Source organism: Homo sapiens, chromosome 2 (assembly GCF_000001405.40).
Source record: "Homo sapiens chromosome 2, GRCh38.p14 Primary Assembly".
NCBI lineage: Eukaryota > Metazoa > Chordata > Mammalia > Primates > Hominidae > Homo > Homo sapiens.
In genome coordinates, this window is record NC_000002.12 from 88,081,273 (window position 1) to 88,098,114 (window position 16,842).

A 16,842-nucleotide genomic window follows, 5' to 3' on the forward strand; every position below is an offset into this window, starting at 1 on the left:
TGTTATTTTTTAACACTTGTTGTATGTCAATCATACCTCCATAAAGATGTCTAGAAAATGCAATTCTGTCTAGACAAACAGAGTGGAAACTCTGTCTTGACTGCAGCACCTTTGAGAAAGCTTGGGAGGTTCTACTGACTATATTTGTAATTTGACCCTAATTTTTTCTTTTTTTTTTTTTTGAGACAGAGTCTTGATCTGTCACCCAGGCTGGATTGCTGTGGCACGATCTTGGCTCACTGCAACCTCTGTCCCTGGGTTCAAGCGATTCTCCTGCTTCAGACTCCCGAGTAGCTGGGATTACAGGCATGTCCCACCATGCCCAACTAATTTCTGTATTTTTAGTAGAGACAGGGTTTTACCATGTTGGCCAGGCTGTTCTCAAACTTCTGACCTCAGGTGATCTGCGCACCTCGGCTTCCCACAGTGCTGGGATTACAGGTGTGAGCCACTGCACCCGGCCATTTGACCCTAAATTAATGTGAGGTTTTCACTAAAGAAACTAATGGAAGCATAATGTGGAGATCCGGCAAGTGTACATGGCACCACATCTGAATAGCACACTCTGTTCTGGGCACCATAATTGTGAAGTGTTGACACCCAAGCTCTTACCTGTGTTTGGCCAGGAGACAAGATTTGGAGCCGTCTTGGAATCCAATTTACTTGGATTTTTCAGGAGTCCAGTTCCTGCTAATGGACTGCAAATTCCTGCCAGAAAATGCAATCCTGACTTGAGGCAGATGTAAGAAATTCATAGCTCTCTATCTCCAGGGGTTTAGAGAGTTCACTAAGTGGCCGGAGTTCCATGTGGGCCCCATGTGCTCTATTCTGCTGGGGCACTTATGACAAATGACCTTCTCAGGGAGGGTGCACCCTCTGTGGCCTAGTTATGATGGGCTGCATATCCTGCGCAGTTCTAAGTATGCTAGTGTAATTCTACTCCTTGCTCACTAGGAAAGTTTAAGGGAAGGCAAGAGTAAGGAAGCTGTTACTATGAGGATAACCTTGAATCTGCTTATTAGAAATAAGCACTAAACTTTCACGCCCTCAAGTACTTTATGATTGTTAACAAATTAGTAGCAATACACCTCCTAGTGGATGGGGACACAGCAGTGTGTTGAGCTGGCCAGCCAGAGGCTGAAAACTGCCTGGACTTTAGGAAGCCCAGGATGTAGCATAGAGCAGTAGCCCCTGCGGTGCCCTCAGCTGGCTCTGCACCTGTCTATCCCCTTCCAGATGCCATGCTGGGATCAGTGCTAGGGATCAGGCTCAAGGGTCAGGCCTGGCCTTTGGGCTGGTCCTTGAGCCTGACCCCCTGGCACTGGCCAGCACATTTTGCTTGATTTCTCAGCTAAACCCAACCTCCTTCGGCTACAGGGATTTCTGTAGGTGTATCAGAGGCCACCAGAAAGGTGTGAGAATTCTAGAAACCATGTACAAAGAATTGTTTAAAGATCTGGGAGTATTTAACTTGGAGGAGAGAAATGAATGGGAAGCAAGGCAGTGGTCTTCAAATTCTTGAAGAACTGACCTGACCAGGCTTGTTCCATTGGGCAAGGACACAGAAGGCCAAATTAGGGTACAGGAGCAGGTTTTCTGGGGAGACAAATTCAAGCTTAACACAAGGAGGAAGTTTGCAACAATTAGGACTGGCCAACAATGAACTGACTGTTCTCAGAAACAATGAACTCCTTTTCACTGTGGGAATTAGAATATTCATGGCCAGGGATAGACACAAAGGATTTCTGTGCCTGAATGTTCTGTGGAAGCTTCTCCCTCCAGGCTCTGGAATTCTGTGATTCTAAAAGCTCCTGTGTTCTTATACTTTGGAGATCCCTGTTTAGACTGTGGACATCTGCTTGAGTTTACCCATCCACTTCCTTCCCAGGAGCTCAGCGCTCCCCTGCACATCACGGAAATGGTTTTCATTATTTCTTTGCTTCAGAGGTGAGGATTTCTCTTCCCCACATTGTGGGAGCATGAGGTTGAGGTCCAGAGATTCTGTACATCATACCAGATTTCTCTCACTCTGGATGTCAGGCTGTGTCCTGAAATACATTTCCTATGGAGCCTATGCCCTTTTCTGTTTGAACGATGGGTTTAACATGGGATACACGGGGCTCTCTAATGGGAACACTAAGAGGCTGGAAGCACCGGGCGGGGATCCTCATCTTCCCACACCTCTCTCCCTCACCCATCGAATGGGCATGCATTTTCCTCCTCATCACTTCCACCCTCGCTCTGAGCTGGGAGAATATGTCAATGACAGTGAAATCAGTAATCTTGTCATTCTTACTGTTGCAAAATGCACAAACTGTGACATATATCATAGTGTGTAGATATTATTTTGCATACAATACTGTGTTCTGAATAACACTAGTTCACCACACTGCAAGTTCAATTGTTTCTCTAGTAATTTGTGGTATTCCCAGTGCCTAATACATTTAGGTCATCAATTTACCCTTCCTGAATTGAATTGAAGGGCTTATATGCAGAGGGTAAGAGTGTCCTTCACATGGGGGTCACTTAAAAATATTTGGTAGGCCAGGCGCGGTGGCTCATGCCTGTAATCCCAGCACTTTGGGAGGCTGAGGCGGGTGGATCACTTGTCAGGAGTTCGAGACCAGCCTGACCAACATGGTGAAACCCTGTCTGTACTAAAAATACAAAAATTAGCTGGGTGTGGTGGCACATGCCTGTAATCCCAACTACTCAGGAGGCTGAGGCAGAAGAATCGCTTGAACCTGGGAGGCGGAGGTTGCAGTGAGCCGAGGTTGCAGTGAGCTGAGATCGTGCCATTGCACTTTAGCATGGGCAACAAGAGTGAAACTCTGTCTCAAAAAAAAAAAATTGCTAAAGTAATTGTTATAGCTGGGAAGGGCCTTTGGAGGCTCAAACTCCTCATTTTGGAAGGTGGAAATCTGAAGTTTAGATAAATAAGGACCAGCCAGCTGAACCAGTACTGGAACACAGGTGTCCCACTGGCTGCAGGGTGCCCTTTCCACTGTGCTCCCAATCATGTGTCTTCTTTCTCCATTTCCAGCCTTGTTAATTTTGTGTGCCACACCTGCTTCAAGAGGCAGGAGAAGCTCCATCGCTGTGGGCAGTGCAAGTTTGCCCATTACTGCGACCGCACCTGCCAGAAGGATGCTTGGCTGAACCACAAGAATGAATGTTCGGCCATCAAGAGATATGGGAAGGTGCCCAATGAGAACATCAGGTGAGAGCTGGGCACCCTGGTGGTGCTTCAGATTTCCAAATGTCAGGCTGGAATGGTGGCAGTAACAACATTCCCAGATCTAAGGAAGCCAAGCTGAGTGCAAGTCAGGAAACAGCCTCAAAGACTGGATATGGTCACTTCTCTTCACTCCCTTAAGGTCTAAGAGGGAGAACTGGCTGTTGACAGCAGTGATTCCAAACTGCAGTCACAGGCTGAAACTGGCTTGCAGATTCCTTCTGTAGGGCTCCCCAATGTTTAGTTTATTTAGGTATTTTGGATACAGGGTCTGCTCTGTTGCCCAGGTTGGAGTGGAGGGGCCCTGATCACAGCTCACTGCAGCCTTGACCTCCCAGGCTCAAGTGATCCTCCCACTTCAGCCTCTCAACTAGCTGAGACCACAGGCACACACCTCCACATCTGGCTAATTTTTGTATTTTTTTAGAGATGGGGTTTTATCATGTTGCCCAGGGTAGCCTCGAACTCCTGAGCTCAAGCGATCCACCCGTCTCGGCCTCCCAAAGTGCTGGGATTACAACTGTGAGCCACCATGCCCGGACAAGGGGCAAGTATTTTTAAATTGATCCACCAATGTTTAAAAATTGGGAAATTTCACATTTTAAAATTAGGATTTCTGACTTCTCTTGAAAAAAAAAATAAACAAAAAACTGAAAATCTGGCAAAATAGGCTAGAGCTGAGTAGTATCTGCCACCTTTGAAAAAATACAGAGCGTTCTAAGTCACAGCAGCACCACTGCTCCCTGTGGTCATACACATTACACCAGAGAGTGCATTTGAGTTTGCAACTAATGGCCTTTCCTGGTGGCCATCATCAGAATCTCAAGGCCTATAGCTCCAGCCCAAGAGATTCCCAATCCTGGAGGTTCCGCTGGGGTGGGGCTCAGTGCTGGGCTGCAGGGAGATGCTCAGGAAGCCAGCACTGCAGAGCAAAGGAGATGGAGATGGTGACTGGGAGCATTTTCACTGTGTGCATAGTGTGTGAAGTTAAGGCACAGAATGGAATTGTCATATCCTGATGATTTTTAGGAACCTGCAGGATGAAATGGCTCAGTCAACCTCTCCATGCCCCTTAGCTCCATCTATTGAAACACTACATATCCTTCAAGACCTGAAGTAAATGGCACCTCCTATGATAGTGACTGAGTTGAAATCTACCACCCATTGACCTCTATTCTCTGAGCTTCATGACCCTTTCCTCGGTATTTGGAGGCAGCAGATCTTCCCTGTGCTGAGTCGTATTTTCCCCAGTGCTGCCCTGGGCTCCCTGTGAAGACACCTCAGTTTCCAGGCACCTGGAGTCCCATGCGGGGCATTTCTCCAGAAATAACTCAGTGACTCAAACAGGAGAAATCGGGAAGATGAAAAACGTTCTGGAAACAGATGGTTGGTGATGGTTGCACAGCAGTGTGAGTGTGCTTAATGCCACCAAACTGTATGCTTAAAAATGGTTAAAATGGTTCAAAAAGAGGTGGGGGGACAGAAGGGACCCTGAGGTGATGGCACTGTTTAGTGTCTTGACTGTGTAGGTGGATACATGAAGCTACATAGGTGATAGCATTGTATATAATTAAACACACATACACATTCATGAGTGTAAGTAAAACGGAAGAAATCTGAATGATACAGGTGGGTTAATATTCTGGCTGTGATATTAGTTCTCTAAAATGTTACCATTGGAGAAAACTGGGCAAAATGTACAAGGGATCTCTTTGTATTGTTTTCCAACTGCCTGTGAATCTGCAATTATCTCAATTAAAATTTCAATTAAAAAAAATGAGGAGAGGGCCTGTGCTTTGCCCAGCAGATCTCTCCTCAGGGACAGGATCTGTCCTGGACCACCATCCCCTCCCAGATGCCTGAAAAGTGTGCAGTCAGTGGGTGGCAGGAACATTAAAGTGTCCCTGGGTCATAAGCTTCATCACAGGCCACCTAATAGTTAACAAAGAGGGCTTCGGGGTGAAGTATACCCCTTTGTCTCATACTCAAGTCCCTGTGTCTCTATAGGTCTCCTCCTGTCCCACCTGGCCTCCTCCTCTTCCCCCAGAGCCCCGCTCCGGCCAGGCCAGGCCCCTCCCTGCTTCCTGCACGTGGCATGCCCGTGGCTGCCTCGAGGCCTCCGCTCACACTGTTTCCCGGCCTAGATTGCCTTCTCCACTTTCTCACTCCCCAATCATTAAGAATACCAATACTTATGATTGCCAAAAATAAAGTGGAATAAAACAAATCATGTTATGTTTTCAATCAACTTTCTATTAGTACCGATTTCAGAAATGAAATTTATTTTAGGAGATTACCCCTATCCTTATCTCTACCCATCCCTATCTTTTTTTTTTTTTATTATACTTTAAGTTTTAGGGTACATGTGCACATTGTGCAGGTTAGTTACATATGTATACATGTGCCATGCTGGTGCGCTGCACCCACTAACTCGTCATCTAGCATTAGGTACATCTCCCAATGCTATCCCTCCCCCCTCCCCCCACCCCACCACAGTCCCCAAAATGCTTGCTTGTGGAGTTTTACTTTGCAAAAAAATAAAAATAAATAAAGAGTACACTGTATAGCTTCCAAAAAAAAAAAAAAAAAAAGAATACCAATACTTTCACACACAATGCAGACACCTATTACTTCACTTTGTCTTCTGAATACCTCTGGAGGTTAGCATAGCAGGGACTATTTTCCCTATTTTACAAGCCACCAGATAGATTCAGAGAGGTCAAGTGACTTGCCCAGGCTCACACAGTAAGAAGTGGAAACAGGTCATTAGACTCCTGATGCAGGGCTCATCCCAGTAGGCCACACTGTTGAGAGACCCAGGCTGCCGCACCTCTCTGTTTCCCCAGACCCCACGGAACCTGGCTCCTGCCCACACCTCCACCTTTATTTGGTCTCCATTTCTTGCTCCCTGTGCTCCAGCCACCTCTGCCTTCCTGCTACTTCTCCATCATGCCAAGCTCATTCCTTCTTCAGGGCCTTTGTACTCACTGCCCTCTCCTGAAGTGCTCTTTCTCCAGTATCACAGAGCCAGCTCCTCCACCCCTTCCAATTCCAGCTCAAATGTGCCTCCTCTGTGACACTTCCCTGGAAGACCTTAGCTTCCCCACCCCAGTCACTCTCTATCATGCCACCCTGTATTATTTTTTCTGCATAGCACTTTCTATGTAAAATGTGCTTGTTTACTTACCTCTCCCCCACTATATGAAGCATCATGATAGAATAAATTCCATCCATCTAGTTTAAAAACGTATCTTGGGCCCAACATTGTGCCTGGCATGCATGAGACACCCAGTAAATGTGTGTTGAAGGAATGAATGCAGCTGTAGTGGCCTCCTGACGCTGCCCTTCCCACAGGCTGGCGGCGCGCATCATGTGGCGGGTGGAGAGAGAAGGCACCGGGCTCACGGAGGGCTGCCTGGTGTCCGTGGACGACTTGCAGAACCACGTGGAGCACTTTGGGGAGGAGGAGCAGAAGGACCTGCGGGTGGACGTGGACACATTCTTGCAGTACTGGCCGCCGCAGAGCCAGCAGTTCAGCATGCAGTACATCTCGCACATCTTCGGAGTGGTAGGCCCCCTGCGTCCCTTCTCCATCCTCCCTGTCTGTCTCCTCTTTCCTTCCCTCCTCCCACTTGGGGAGGGTGGGGCTTCTCAGAAGTGAACTAAGAGGCAGAAGCCCTGTCTGCCCTGGACCCTGATTTCTATTTCCATAAAGGTCTCATCTAGCCCAGGCAGCCAGAGGCGCTGGAGAAACCGCCTTCTATTTACCGCATGTAGCAGAAACATCTACTGCCCCTTCCATTTCTGAGCCCAGGGACAGGCCTCCAAATGACCCAACTAATAAAATCCGGAGATTCTAGAGTATGATTCCTTATCAAGGAGGGGCCATGGTGACAGCTGGGATCGTCCAACTAAGAAGTTTCCAGAAACTGTCAGGCCAGAGTTGGGAGGGGAGGCCAAGAGGACTGAAGGAGGACAGGAGTTTGAAGTGAAGACCCCTCATCCTGGACTCTGTCTTCTGGCCTTGTTTACTGTGAGGCCATTCCTGCTGTATCTGAATTGGCATCCCACATACAAATTTTACTTATTTATCCATCTCTGGATGGTAGATTTGGATGGTAATTTATCCTCTTACTTATCTGCACTTTTTACATTTTTTTCCTCTCCACGTTGAAAATAAAGACCCCCAATCACTATCCCTTCCTGCCCACCAGTCACTTTGGAAACCTTTTTCCAGGTCTGCCAGGCAGGATTGATGTGAAGCCTGGAGCAGTGGGGGATGTGAGCCAGAGAGAGGGGAGTCAGGGTTTTGGGGTGGGAGCAACCAAGCCAGACGAGGCCATAAGAGTCCGGGAAGTGGGGGCGAGAACCCGGTGGATGAGGAGGCTCAGGTCCTGGCTGTGGGGATGGATGTGTTCCATCTGGTAGGCCAGGACCTTTATGTGGTGAAGGTGAGCAGGCTGAGGACGGAGGAGGACAAACATCACACTGACATCTCTCCAGTCTTCACCATATTGGGGGGCAAAGGGAGAGAGATTGATTGAGTCTAAGGATTTGGCTCACGCAATGGTGGAGGCTTGGTAAGTCCAAAATCTGCAAGGTAGGCCATCAGGCTGGAGATCAGGGAAGTGTTGCAGTTCAAGTCCGGAGGCATTCTGCTGGCAGAACTCCTTGCTCAGGGGAGATCAGTCTTTATTCTATTCAGGTCTTCAACTGATTAAATGAGGCCCACCCACATTCTAGCAGGCACTCTGCTTTACTCAAACTCCACCAATTTAAATGTGAATCTCATCCAAAAACACCTTCACAGAAGCATACATTATAGTATTTGACCAAATATCTGGGCACCATTGACCAGCCATGTGGGCACACAAAATTAACCACCACAGCTTCCCATGTATTATTTTACACAATCTTTACAACACAAGGTAAGGTCCATGCTTTCAGTATTTCTATTTTATAGAACAGAAAACCTAGGCCCAGAGGGGTTACATGACCTCCAAAAGCCACATGGTCAGCTTGTGCCCAGGGAAAGTCTAGAAGCAGTCTGTATTTTCAGGAGCCAGAGCTTCTACCTGTTTTTTTTTTTTTTTTTTTTTTTTGAGATGAGGGTCTTACTCTGTCACTCAGGCTGGAGTGCAGTGGTGCAATCATGGTTCATTGCAAACTCCATCTTCCAGGCTCAAGTGATCCTCCCGCCTCCCAAGTAGCTGGGACCACAGATGCATACCACTATGCCTGGTTAATTTTTGCTTTTTTTTTTTTATAGAAGCAGGGTTTCACCATATTGCCCAGGCTGATCTCAAACTCCTGAGCTCAAGTGATCTGCCCATCTCTGCCTTCCAAAGTGCTGGGATTACAGGCGTAAGCCACCACGCCTGGCCTAAGCTTTTACTTTTACCTGTTATGTTCTATAGCCTTGGGGTGAATTGGTGTGTTGAGTAATCTTCGGCATCCCTGATAGGTCTGGGGACTAGGGCTAGAGGTCATATAATTACCAAAGGTTAGAGCTGAAAAGATCCTTGGAGCTTATCTAGTCCAATTTATTCAACCTATAGATGGGAAAACCAGGGCTCAGAGAAGAAAGAAGTTTGCTCCAAGTAGTACAGCTTGTTAGTGGTACTCAGAGGCTTAACATCATGAACTTACTAAATGTCTGATGAGAATAAATGGAGAAAGTGACACTCCTCCATATCTATGACAAATATCCATGTGAGGGCATAAATGTCTACTGAGTTTCTGTTATGTACAGCATGTATTCATAGATGTATTTATAGATGAAGTGGAAATCTGCATGCAGTTACTAATGTATTCTACGTTATATTTATTCTTATGTATTTTTCCTACTGTGAGAGCAGATATTTGGTGTCTGTTTCTGTAAAGAAAAATTTATTTTTAAGGAAAAGAAAATCACTTGGATGCCACATCAGTAGTAACCAACTTGATTTGCCTTGAATCTCAGAGATAAGTGTTAAATATGGCACTCATCAGATTTAACAACTGTGAGCAGGGAATATAAAACTATGCACCAGATACAAAATAATCAAAAGAGATGTCAATTTTTTTTTATGAACAGCTACAGGAGTTTAAACTGAGTAGGCAGAGGAAACAGGGGAAGGAAAAGCTCACACACACACACACGCCCACGCGCACACAAAGCAGGGTACAGAGAGAAAAACCAAGACAGAGACTGAGGAATACTCATGTAAGACCCAGATACAGAAAAAGGAAAATATTTCCACCTTTGACTCTTTTAGAATAGAGCCACAAAAAACTTTCAAGGTAGGGCTGCATTTTTGCAGGTATGGGACTGTTCCATGGCCCTAATCTTGTGTGTCATCTGGAGTCACGCAGAGAACAGGAGACTAATTGTTCTGTGTCCAGACTCCCTAAGCATCTCCAGGGTGAGACTGGGTCTTCTGTTTTTTAAAACTCCTTTCAACAGCTAGGATGTTGTTCTGTCCATGTCTGTCGACTGACTCTTTCATCTTTTCCCCTGGGTAGATTAACTGCAACGGTTTTACTCTCAGTGATCAGAGAGGCCTGCAGGCCGTGGGCGTAGGCATCTTCCCCAACCTGGGCCTGGTGAACCATGACTGTTGGCCCAACTGTACTGTCATATTTAACAATGGCAAGTGAGTATGTCTTTATGTGGGGGTGTGTGTGAAGGGGATGGGGAGACCTATGGTGTTTTCTCCACTTGACTTAAGCCAAAGTCAACCTGCTAAACCTGAACTAGCATAAATTTTAAATGTATAGCACATAGAAATCTCATTCCAGAATAATTGTGAATGAGAGAAAGGCATCATGGAGGATATCAAAGAATTCAACCTGGGTCATTTCTGAATGTGTATGTTTCTTGGGGCTGCCTGGACAGGTTAGATAAACCTTTAACTACTATTTTAAAACTTGAAGCCTAGGATTATCTGTCTAGAGGTCATTTAGTCAAGGTCTCAGCAGGAATCAGGAGGCACACTCAAAAGGTTTTACCCAAATAGAATTGAATGAAGGGACAATTTACAGAAGTGTGGACAGGGTTTAAGATACTAACAAGGGGCAGGGACTGGTGGCTCATGCCTGTAATCCCAGCTCTTTGGGAGCCCGAGGAGGGGGCGGATCACTTGAGGTCAGGAGTTTGAGATCAGCGTGGACAACACAGTGATACCCCCGTATCTATAAAAAATAAATAAATACATAAATAAATACATTAGCCGGGCATGGTGGTGTGTGCCTGCAGTCCCAGCTACTCATGAGGATGAGGCAGGAGGATCACTTGACCTCAGGAGGTTGAGGCTGCAGTGAACTATAATCATGCCACTGCACTCCAGCTTGGGTGACAAAGTGAGACCTTGTCTCTAAAACCAAACCAAACCAAACCAAACAAAATAATATAACAACAAAAAGAAACTAACAGGAATGGTGAGGTGCCCAGGGACTAGCAACACATGAAACCATCACCACCTCTAGGCCTGGAAGGGCAGGTGAAGGAAGCACTGTTTCTGCAGCTAGTGAGAGCTGGACCCGGGATAGAGGGCCCCCAACAGCTCAGCTGTGGCTTATAACTGTGTCTAGAGAAACCAGCCAGCTGGCACCATGGCTCAGAAAAGAGGAAGCCAATGGACTAGATAGTCCAACCCCTCATTCCCCCAACCTTCTGCTCTCCTACCATTGGCCAAACCCCAACCAGAAGCCAGACCGCAAAGAAACCTGGGTGACGCAACCCTCAGAGGCCAGCCCCCTTTTCTGAGACAGCACAGATGAGGGGGGACATAAGGGCACATGATGGATTTGGGGGTGGGGTACAAATGGAGAAGAATCAGCAGATGGAATGAGCTCCTGGTGGTCCATGGCTCAGGATGGGGAAATGTAGGGGAATGAGGCCCGAGCAATATTAATTGCTTTTGCTCTTAGAGATGAGCTTTTATGACAGATACAAGCTGACTTTGAGCCATCAACAATGAGCAAGTTTCCCCCAAAAACTTCCTAGAAGCCAGACAATGGTGTCTGGTTCTCAGCTGAGAATCGGGCCTAAGCTTCAATATGCCAAGTACCCTGATTTCTCTTTTCCTTCCTATTTCTGAAACCAGGCTCTTAAGTAATTGAGAAAGTCACTCAAGATGGGAAAGTTTATTTTGGACTCAGATGATAATCTTTTCTCAGCATTTGTGTTTCCTTTCTGAAGCCTTTTGGGGTCACTGGCCTGGATCTCATGGAATCCTCCCTAGAGGGGCTGTTGACTGAGCTTGACCTGGTTGGCAGAGAGGATCAAATTCAGCCATGTATGGGCCTGGGCCTTCTAGATGGCCCTCTTCTAAGTGGTGGTGACCCAAGGCTCCTCTTGTCATTGGGTGTAACAACCACAGGAATCTAGGAACTCTTTCTTCTGTGTCTGCTCTGGCTTCCTTGCATCTACTAATTTCTAGCAGCCACATTTTATCCAGGCTTCTTGGCTTTTGTGCAAGAGAAGGTGACTTTGCATTTCCTGTCTAGCCACCTGCCATAGTGGAAAGAACCCTAGACATGGGGTTAGGGGCCCAATTTGAACCCCAACAATTTTTACATACTATCTCTGTGACCTAACCAGACTCCATGTGCACTTCAAACTCTTTCCAAGACAGACATCCAAAGAGGCAATGTTTATTCACCCAGGATGCTTAATAGAATGATAATAACAACATTGTGCATGTTTTTCCAGCACTCTGCTTTTAACTGTCTCATGACAGTCTCATTACAGGTGAGAACACTGAAACACAGGGAAGGGAAGGAACTTGTTCAGGTCAGGGCTGAGTACCTTTGAATCCAGAATGTCTTGTTCCAAATTCAGTGCACTTTCCCTATACTAGGCTGTGTCTTGTCCAGTGAGTCCAGCTAGAAGGGGCTAGGATAAAGGTTATTGTGATGGCCAAAGCTTTGATACTGTGACCCAGAATGCTGTACACCCTTGCACTGGATCACACCTGATCAGCCAATGATAATGATTTCCATATGGGTGTCTGTTTTGTCTTTCAGTCATGAGGCAGTGAAATCCATGTTTCATACCCAGATGAGGTGGGTCAGTCCTTTCAAGCATCCCTGCTCCTCTGACCCATCTCCCTCACTTACCTGGTTTGCTGGGGCCACCCATTCCCGAGACTTCTTGGCTGCCATCTGTCCATAACGTCCTTCTGCATCCCAGTGTCTCATCTTTTTAATGCATTTAAATTAACCATTTTTTCCTTACCCACATATCACCTGCCTTGCCTTTGCTTTATTTTGCCTCCTTTCTTCCTCCCTTTCATGCCTCACTTCCACTGCTCTTCCAACCTTGAAGCATGAACCCTTGTAGTCCACATCGTCTTAGCAAAAGCCTATCTTGTCTCCCTAAACCCTGCTTACCATGAAATGGGGACTGTGACTGACCTACTAAAGGACTGTCTGTTTATAAGCCCCAACTTCTCACCCAGACTGGGCTCCAAAAAATAGCATCTATAACTGATATTTTTAATAAATATTTATTCCTAGTATTCCGCTTACTGCTTCTGACCAACTATGAATTAGTAGTTTAGGTTAAATTTTACTTTTCTTAATGACAACCAAATGGCCCCAGATGGGTCTTAGGGTGGGGTTGACAGCTCTTGAAATAGTCTTTGGATTAAGAACAAAATGCTGTGTGAGAGTTTGGGCTTTGGGAATGCTGGGGTAGAAGTGGTTGGTGCACTTGAGTCTGTGCTGGTGTGCACTGCACGTGAATTTGGATGATTCACATCATCTCTTGGACTTGGGTTCCACATCTGTAGAGAAAGGTCAAGAGGAGAGTGCTCTAGGGACCTTCCTAGTTCTAAGTCTCTGCAGCTCTGGGCTCTGTCCCTAACCTCTGTGAGAAATACTTAAATAGGCTGCCTACTTGTGGCTCAATTAGCTGAACTATGGAATTGCAGATTGTTTGAGGTAGAAGGGGTCTGGGGTCCAGAGTGGGGATGAAGCTTGTCCAAGAAAGCTGGTTGGAGGGAGAGCCAGGGCTAAAACCCTCATCTCCTGCCTCCTGCAGTGCTTATTTCAGGCTGGTCTCCATTCCCCTCCCCCAATCTCCAGTTTCAAGTAAGGTAAAATCAGGCATACATATATGCATCTTTTCATATTTAAGTGACATTAAGTTAATTTGGTTTTGAAAAATTTCTAATACCATTGAAATAATCAGACACCCTGAGACCGTGCAAGAATTGGCACAATCATGATGGGAAGTAAAATTACTGGAAATTCCAGCCCAATTGGCCACTGATTCACTGTTGCATTAGAATATGTCACTATGGTGGGCTGCCTCTGTAAAAGGGACTCGTGGGGGCAGAATTGGTTACTTACCCAACAGAGTTAAACACCAGAGATCCACACTCTATCCTGGCCCAGGAGTTTCTCACACAGAATTATTAAGGACATTAGTAGAGTCCTAAAAATCAAGGGCTTTGATGCATCTTAATTCCCATGCATTGAAGACCCAGGAAGCAGCCTGAAAGCAACCAGGCAAGGCTACTATGTTGAGGACAATTGTGAATGGTATGAAGTACCATTCATGATGGTATGAAGTTCCAATCCTGGCTCTGTCCCGAAAGTGTTGTGGGACCTATCCCTCTTGTGTCACTATCCTCATTTGTGAAATGAGTGTCCCTGCAGCTCAGACATAGGATTCTAAGCAGAACTGTGAGCAGAATCACCCGGCCTTCCTCTCCTACTGGCCATTCATCACTATAGTAACCGCTGCTGCTGAAAATTGGGGTAAGGAACAAAGGAAAGGAGGGACAAATGGTGAGCAGGCACTTCAGTTTTGCAGGCTCCACAGGAGTTGTTTTTATACATATTATCACATTAATAGGCATGTCAGTGTATCTCACTTTGGGAGAAGGATTTTTATCCATAAGTGGTCACCTCAGATGCCTGGATATGAACGTCACTACCATTCAGCAGTTGCTCCCTTGACTGTCACCTCAGACCACAGGGAAGGGGCTGCCTTTGACTGGGACTCTTCTCAGGTGCTGGAGTCTTGCCCTTGCTTTTGCATGCTGTCCAACTGAGCCTTTCTGGAAGGTAAAAGAAGTGACCACGGATCTCTGTGCAGATGCTCTCCCCAGCCCTCTGCATCCTGCCACTTCCTCTCTGGATGATGGCTTCCTACTAGGCAGGGAGGTCCCAGGATTCTGGGGAGATACAGGAGCATGGTTTAGGACCCAGCTTGCAGGGCCCACCACTTGTTTTCTGTAGCTGTCTGGCCTTGTGGTGGAGGATGCATGGCTGAGAGGTCCACGGACTGACCTCCACCTGTTTGGCTCAGCTGGATGTCAGTTCTGCAGTGGGTTTTTACCTTCAACATCTTCAGTACCTATCACATTAGGTAAGGTGGGTAGTGCTGTAGCTAATTGAGGGTCAGGTCTAGGCTGGAAGGGAACTGAAATGCCATCTGCCCTTGCTAACTACCTTCAACCAGTAAGCCACATCTCCCAATAAACACCAAAGTGAACAATGCAGTAAGCTAACAGAGCCAGCCTTTGTTTATTTGCCTTCAGTGATCTCCAGTGGGCTAAGTCTCCTTAGGTAATTTGGCCTGAACCATTGGACTGAAGGTTAAGAGGTGACTTCAAGTTAGACACAGAATGGGCCAAGGTTGTGGGTAACCGAATGTGTATGTTTCTGAGAGAGTAGTCCCCAAACTAACCAGAAAATATTTTTAGGTTTTTTCTTGTTTGGAGTTTTTGCCTTATTATTTCTCCCTTCCTTTGTTACAGACAATCAGTAGCTAAAAAGTAAAAGGAGGCTTACGGGCATGGACGTTCTGTCTGGTTTTATGACCAAGCCCAGCTCTCTACTAGGAGTCTATTTGAGCTGATTCCACAGTAGTTAACTGAATGGAATGGATCAGACGGTTCTAAGGAATAGAGTAGAATTACCCAGAAAATCATCCTTTAGGTCACATTTCTCCTTTTGTGGGGTCAATGGGAGTTTCTGAGTGTCAGTGAAAGTCATTGTCTTTGAGACCCAACTCCATGAAGCCTTGGAGAGCACGGATCCCATTCCAGTAGGCCTGGATTCGATTCACCTTTTCCTTTCACCCTGCTTCAGAATTGAGCTCCGGGCCCTAGGCAAGATCTCAGAAGGAGAGGAGCTGACTGTGTCCTATATTGACTTCCTCAACGTTAGTGAAGAACGCAAGAGGCAGCTGAAGAAGCAGTACTACTTTGACTGCACATGTGAACACTGCCAGAAAAAACTGAAGGATGACCTCTTCCTGGGGGTGAAAGACAACCCCAAGGTACACACAGCCCTGCTGCTGAGGTGTTTGTGTCTGTCTTCTCCGGGAGCCAGTCACAGGTGGTTTCACAGCTAATCCGTGTGCCCTGCCCATGAGCTTCCTAGGGAGCAACTGTCACCCTGGGGAGGAGGCAGGGCATGAGAGCAGAGCACCGCAGGTAGGTCCCAGCTAGGTCCTGGCACTGCCACTTGCCAGGTGTTTGAGTTTGGGGAAGTCACCCAGTTTTCTCAACAGTAAAATAGGAATGATGGCCCCACTGCAAGAGGTTGTTATAAAGATTAAAGGAGATGACGTGTGTAAAAGGAGTGGCATACGGAGTAGACACTGGAAATTTTGGTTCCTCCTCTTACTCCTTTATGAGTTGAGTGATGTTGAGAATTTAAGGTGTTCAAATCAGATGGGCAAAGAGATTTATCATCTGGTTATCAAAAAGATATTCCTAGTCCCATGGGGATGGGCAGTGTGGAGACAGGGCTAGGTTTAGATTGGTCAACATCCTGAACTCCTGGGTAGCTGTTGCCAGTTGATGGTGAGTCTGTTGAGCAGCAGAGGAAGGCTTGCTGAGGGGAGGTCAGGAACCCAGCTGAGCTGGGAGAGAGAGCTGAGCCGCCAGGTGTCAGAGTAGCCAGTTAAAGCAACAGAGCAGAAATGAGAGTGAAGTATTTAATCACTTACTGCAATGGTGTAAGCAAGAAGCTAAAACCGAAGAAAGCACTGACTCCTCTTGTCCATTTCCTCCAGTGAAGCTGTGCTCAGGGGGAGGATGAGGGGGATCAGCACAGGCATGGAGGCGTCTCACATGACATTCTCTTTTATAAGGACGCTAGTCCTATTGGGTTAGGAGCCCACTCTACTCCAGTATGATCTCACCTTAACTAATTACATCTGCAATGACCCTATTGCCAAGTAAGATTTCATTTTGAGGTAGCTTCTGGGGCTAGACTTCAACATATGAATTTTGGGAGGATACAATTTAACCCCTAACACTGTGTGTGCTACCATTTATGAACATTAAAAGGCACACACACACACACACACATGCACACCCATGTGCATGCAAGCATACTCGGTTTCCATACAGACAGAAGTAGGAGGACCAGCGATGCCTGGGGTGAAGAGATTGACAGTCACCCCTCCCAGGCAGAGACAAAGCAGTTGGGGTCCAAGGATTTATGTTTTCTATAGGAACAACCTCTTTTCAGAGAATCAAAGGTGTGTATTCTAGGACATGTATATTGGATGCATGTGAGAGGCACTGAGCACTGCATCATGGGCGCTACAGAAAAGAATTTGTTATTGCACTCACCCTCACCCCGACCTTTCAGAACCT

At 46.4% G+C, this 16,842-nt stretch overlaps 1 protein-coding gene and 1 non-coding gene across 3 annotated transcripts in view, besides 1 other annotated feature; one reads left to right on the forward strand and one right to left on the reverse strand.

The window, feature by feature from the left end:
* SMYD1 (SET and MYND domain containing 1) overlaps positions 1-16,842 on the forward strand; it is a 45,560-nt gene that overhangs the window by 13,448 nt on the left and 15,270 nt on the right. The window contains exons 2-6 of one of the 2 annotated variants that reach the window (NM_198274.4): positions 3,044-3,220; positions 6,590-6,803; positions 9,740-9,870; positions 12,245-12,283; positions 15,323-15,512. In NM_198274.4, the coding sequence (NP_938015.1) occupies positions 3,044-3,220; positions 6,590-6,803; positions 9,740-9,870; positions 12,245-12,283; positions 15,323-15,512 (751 nt within the window). The remainder of the gene's footprint in view (positions 1-3,043; positions 3,221-6,589; positions 6,804-9,739; positions 9,871-12,244; positions 12,284-15,322; positions 15,513-16,842) is intronic. The other variant, NM_001330364.2, reaches the window with a different exon arrangement.
* On the reverse strand, positions 1,247-1,327 carry MIR4780 (microRNA 4780). Its single transcript, NR_039940.1, has one exon. It is a non-coding gene; the product is annotated as a microRNA 4780 (primary transcript).
* Positions 10,873-10,932: a silencer, noted in NCBI's record as "silent region_11728". NCBI's record gives its function as "represses an Ori minimal core promoter by ATAC-STARR-seq in GM12878 lymphoblastoid cells {active_cell/tissue: GM12878}" and the evidence as "EXISTENCE:reporter gene assay evidence [ECO:0000049][PMID:35858748]".